This window comes from Homo sapiens, chromosome 12 (assembly GCF_000001405.40).
Source record: "Homo sapiens chromosome 12, GRCh38.p14 Primary Assembly".
NCBI classification, from domain to species: domain Eukaryota; kingdom Metazoa; phylum Chordata; class Mammalia; order Primates; family Hominidae; genus Homo; species Homo sapiens.
In genome coordinates, this window is record NC_000012.12 from 67,321,746 (window position 1) to 67,327,969 (window position 6,224).

A 6,224-nucleotide genomic window follows, 5' to 3' on the forward strand; every position below is an offset into this window, starting at 1 on the left:
AGGGGAATATTCTACTCTTATGTTTTGAGAATCCTCTGATGGCTCAATATTAGAAAATATACCAATGTAAAAGTATTAGTGAAGTAGTAAAACTATAAAGACTAGTTGTCAGAAACCAGTAATAAATAGTATCCTAAACAGTGAAACATTAAAACAATTTTATTTAAAGTCAGAAGATAAACTACTAGCATTATATAGCATTGTATAACATGGTCTTGGAGGTTTCCAAAAAATGAAATAAAGCGAGAAAATATAATGAATAATGTGAGTTAGAAAGTAAAGCTATCGTTTTTGTGTGTGACATAACCACACACCTAGGAAACCAAGAGAATCTAGCAAGAGAAAAGCTTAAAATTGATAAAATGTGCTGAGGTGGATTCTTTCAAAGGACGAACCCTGGCATAAATTGAAGATGGTGGAAGAGAAACAGGAAGTGTGCATGGCTCTGAGAGAGAGGAATGAGAAGGGTGACTACAGCACCTTCAACTGAAACATCCAGGTACTTGCGTTGGGACTAATCAAGGAAACAACTTGACACACAGAGAACAAAGAAAAGCAAGGCAGGACAACAGCCCACTTGGGAGTGACACCGAGCCAGGGGAACCTCCCCCACCCAGGGAAGTGGTGAGTGAATGTGTGACCCTGGGAACCCAGGCTTCTCCCATGGATCATCGCAACGCGGGGATCAGGAGATCTCATGAACACACTTCACCAGAGCCTTCAGTCTGACAGACAGAGCTACATAGAGTCTTAGCAGAGTAGCTGCTCAGGCATGGGTGGAGACCCAGAAGCCTTAGAAAATCAAGCTTTCCAGCAAAGTAACCGCAACTCCTGCAAAGCGGGAGATTAGACCCCCGTATATACCCGTAGGAAAGTGGCTGAATCCAAGAGGCTGCGCAGTGACAGTCTGCAGGCCCCACTTCCACAGCATCTCATAGGAGAAGACCCACGGGCTTGGAAATCCAGCCAGCCCCTGGTAGCCGCCTTGCGCCTCCCTGAAATGGAGCTCCCTGGGGGAGGGGTGAGCCGCCATCTCCGCTGCTGTTTGGGCAATTTAGCCACGCCAGCCTTCAGGCTTTGGAAAGTCCAAGCCGACTGGGGGTGGGAGGGATTTCCCAGTACAGCACAGCTGCGCTACAAAAATATGGCCAGACTGCTTCTTTAAGCAGGTACCCCAATCCCATTCCTTCTCACTGACTGGGGCCTCCAGCCACCCCTGCCAGTGTTCTCCAGCTGACAGATACTTGAATTCTCCCTGGGAGAGAGCTCCCAGAGGGAGGGGCAGGCTGCCATCATTGCTGTTTGGGCGACTTAGCTGTTCCAGCCTTTGGGTTTTGGAGAGTCTGAGCCAACCGGAGGTGGAAAGGGTACCCCAGCACAGCACAGCTGATCCACCAAAATGTGACCAGACTGCTTCAAGTAGGTCCCTGATCCTATTCCTCCTCACTGGGTGGGACCTCCTAACCAGGGTCTCCAGCCACCTCCTACAGGTGTGTTTGGGCCGGCAACAGGTCCATACCTCCCTGGAACAAAGCTCCCAGAGGGAAGGGCAGGTTACCCATCTTTGATGTTTCACAGTCTGCACTGGACCAGGTACTAGAAAATCTGCAGCAACCAGGGACTAGAGTGGGTCCCCAGCACAGTGCAACAGCCTGACAGAAAAGTGGCCAGATTGTTACACGGGTGCCATTTCCATATCTCTTGAGGTAGGTCCTCAAGGCCTGGACCTCTAGCCAACCCCTGCCAGAGCTATTGAGCCAGTAGCAACTCGGGAACTCCCTGACCTGAACAGAGCCTCCAGGGACAACTGAAAGCCTCTCTGCCACTGCTTCTGCAGTGGAACTGCCCTTGCTACCCTCAGACTAATGAAGGAGCAAAGACCCTAAGTACTTTATCCACCCCTCCAACAAGCTGCAGTCAACCCAAGGAGAGGAGGCCAGTCTGTCTTACACGGGTCCCACACCCACCGCCCCCAACTGCTCATCACCAAACGGAATCCTTGGATTGGGCCTACAGCACAGACCCTTTATCCTGGGTGGACTGCACTGAGAGATTGCTGACCTGCATCTCTCTGGGGTGGGGCCTCAAGGAAACAAGCAAAAGACCCTTGGCCACAATCACTACTAAGGTCCCTTCTTCATCTGCATACAAGTTGGGGAAGGAATATAAACACAGAGATTGCCTCAGAACTGCAGTGGGCATCCCAGGAACACCAAGCCACAAGCTACAGCCAACACTCAAGTGGGAGAGGAACCCACACTTTCAGGGCCTTGAAAGGGAACATGACTGCAACTGTGAGGAAACACAGGGGAGCCATACAACTGACCAGGAGTCTACCAACTGACAAATAATCCTAAATATCACTTGCTGGATTACACTCCAAAGCTTCAACACCAAAAATACCTCACTAACCTACTCTACTCTGAAACCAGAGACAAGAAGCCAGCTTCAAATAAAGACCCTGCACAAAGCTTCAGCCTGGTGAAAACATCCAGAAAAGAAATCTATTGACTACTCAATCCACACTACAGCTAAAGGAACACCCACGTGCAGAGATGAGAAAGAATGAACACAAGCAGTCTTGTAACTCAAATGGCCAGAGTGTTGTATATCCTCCAAATTACTTTACCAATTCTCCAACAAGAGTTCTTAACCAGCCTGAACTGTCTGAAATGACAGAAATAGAATCCAGCATATGGATAGGAATGAATATCGTTGAGATTCAGGAGGATGGCAAAACCCAATCCAAGAAAAATTAAAAATTACAATAAAACATTATGGGAGCTGAAAAATGAAACAGCCAGTATGAAAAAGGACCTAAGTGAGTTTGACAGAGCTGAATAACACAAGAATTTCACAATGCAATCACAAGTATTAATAGCAGAATTAAACCAAGCTGAGGAGAGAATCTCAGAGCTTGAAGATTGGTTCTCTGAAATAAGATAGACAAAAATAAAGATAAAAGAATAAAAAGAAATAAACAAAACCTCTGAGAAGTATGGGATTAGGTCAAGAGGCCAAATCTATAAGTCATTGGCATTCCGGAAAGGAACTGGGAGAAAGCAAACAACTTGGAAAACATCTCAGGATATCGTCCATGAAAACTTCCCCAACCTTGCTAGTGAGGCCAACAGTGAAATTCAGGAAATATGGAGAACTGAATGATTTTACACAAGAAGATCATCCCCAAGACACATAATTGTCAGACTTTCCAAGTCCTAAATGAAAGAAAGAATGTTAAAGGCAGCTAGAGAGAAGGGGCAGGTCACTTACAAAGGGAATCTCATAAGGATAACAGTGGACCTCTCAGCTAAAACCCTGCAAGCCAGAAGAGATTGGGTGTCTATATTCAACATTCTTAAAGAAAAAAAGTCTGCAACCAAGAATTTCATATCCAGCCAAACTAAGCTTCCTAAGTGAAGGAGAAATAAGATTCTTTTCAGATAAGTAAATGTTGAGGGAATTCATTACCAACAGACCTGCCTTACAAGTGATCTTGAAAGGAGCACTAAATATAGAAAGACTGCTACCAGCTAATATAAACACACAGACCAGTGTCACTATAAAGCAACCACACAAACAAGCCAATAAAATAACCTGCACAACAAACCCCTGTGACACACGTTTACCTGTGTGCCCCTGAAACTAAAATAAAAGCTAAAAAATGAGGAAGAATCCCTTTCCAGAAGAGTCTTTTTAAGGGATGGCAGCAAATGGAGGTAGTGCCTGGGGCTCTTCACTCTAGAACTCATACTTTCTGGTTTCCCTAAACTCACTAGATGGGATATAAACAAGGATCTGACATTGACTTCTTACCCAACACCCGTATCTGAAGAGAACAGCTGATCTTTCCAGAGGAACACAACCTACAGGCCAAAATAACTTGAAAACTGAAAAGTGGTAAGAGTTTTTGCCTTCTTCATCTTCCAAAGTTAGCCAAATCTCTGTGTTCTGCATCTGAGTTTTCTTACCTCAAGTATTCATAAGATTTGTGTTTCACGGCTGAAAACAGGCACTATCATGGGCCTTAAAGACAAACAAATGAAATCCAGTTTTTGTTTGGAAGGAGAATGTTTGGCAAATGAGATGAAGAGAGGTGGGATATAGGAGTATGTCGAGAGAAACCCAAGGTGGTAGGGAGTTGAGGAAAGAATGAGATTCTCTGTGACTGGGAAAAATGGGAGTTGGGCACATATGTACAACTGTCAGGGAAAGATCTGTGTCCCCACACAGTGCTCAAGATTTTGAAAGGGATTGCTGTCTGCCTTATGGATTCCATAGCTTACAGGCCCTTGGAAAAAGATTACTTAGTTCCTCAGAAGAATGGGCCACATGGGCTTGGAAACCAAGCATCTCAGTGGTGAAGAACAGAAGGCCCTCATCCCAATCCGTTGTCCTTGGAGCTATTGCCTGTCCCACTTCTATTCAAAGAATTGTATGCCACTTTGAATAGTGAGATTCTAAGGTAGATTTAATTTGATTTAAAACAAATTTCAGGCTGGGCGCGGTGGCTCATGCCTGTAATCCCAGCACTTTGGGAGGCTGAGGCGGGTGGATCACGAGGTCAGGAGATCGAGACCATCCTGGCTAACACGGTGAAACCCCGTCTCTACTAAAAATACAAAAATTAGCCAGGCGTGGTGGCGGGCACCTGTAGTCCCAGCTACTTGGGAGGCTGAGGCAGGAGAATGGCGGGTGAACCCAGGAGGCGGAGCTTACAGTGAGCCAAGATTGTGCCACTGCACTACAGCCTGGGTGACAGAGCAAGACTCCATCTCTAAAAAAAAAAAAAAGAAAAGAAAAACAGATTTCAAAATACTTCGGTTCCCTGAGCAGATGCCATGTGTTTGGTAGAAGATTCAGCATTGAAGAGAAGAGAAAATTTGCTGAAGGGGTTAATTTCTTTATGATTCCATAAAGAAATAGCAAGAAAGTAAGGGACTAGGAAGGGGGGAGGGGTAAAAAATTATTGAAGTGTGACATATACAGAGCAAAGATCACAATTCATAAATGTATGGCTGAATGAGTTATCAAAATGTTAATATCCCATGTAACTATGTAACTATCACCCTGGACAAGAAAAAGAACATCATCAGCATTTTTCTTGGTCATCTTTATTGTTGCTCCTCTTCTTGACTAAGATCTTGGGTCTTTTCTCTTTATCTACATTCACTCCCTAGGGGACTCATCAACTCAGCAGTATAGAATTAAATACCATCTATACTGACAACTCTCAATATCTCCAATCAGAACTTCTCACCTGAACTTAAGCCCTGTATATACAACTATAGCTACTTAACATCTCTACTTGGTTGTCTAAGTAGCTTCCCAAACTTGACAGATCCAGAACTGAACTCCTGACTCTCTACCTCATAAATTCTCTGCCTGTAGTGCTCTTCACTGTAGTAATAGCCTCATCCTTCCAGCTACTCAATCCAAAAGGCTGCAAGTCATTCTTGATTCCTCCTTTTCTTTCACAGACCATATACAATCTATTAGGAAATCCTGTTTGTTCTGCTTTCAAAATGTGTCTGTGGCTCTGATCCCCTCTCAGCATTTCTATACTACCAGTCTAGTGTAGTTTATCATAATCTCTGGCTTGCCTGGGTTGCTGTAATAGTCTCCCAACTATCCTTGATGCTTCCTCACTTGCTCTCCTCCAATCTAATCTCAAAAGAGCAATCAGTGGTCCTATAAGAAAGTAAATCTCATTACACCATTCCATAGCTCAAAAGCCTCCACTGGCCTTCCATTTAACTCAGAAAATGCCACACACCTTATTACATACAGCCTACATGGCCCTTCATGATATAATAACCCTCGTTGCTTCTCTCACTGCATCTCTAGCTACTTTATCCCTTGTTCACTCCGCTAAAGCTACCCTAGCCTCCTTGCTGTTGATTGATCATGCCAGGTGCATGACATTTACATTGGCTCTTCCTTCTGCCTGGAACACTGTCCCCAGAGTGCTGTGTCAATGCCAGATATCCACATGGCTCACTCCTTCTGCTTTTTCAAGTGTCTGCCTAAATGTCACCAATCCTGCCTTTCTCAATCTCTATTACCCTTTTGTTTCCATACAATAACATTTATCACCTTTAAATGTACAATATAACCTATGGATCATATGTTCCTTAACTGTCTCCTGGCATAGAACATAAGTTCCATGTGAGCAGGGATTTTGTCTGTTGATTTATTATCTCACTAATGTATAATAAGCACAT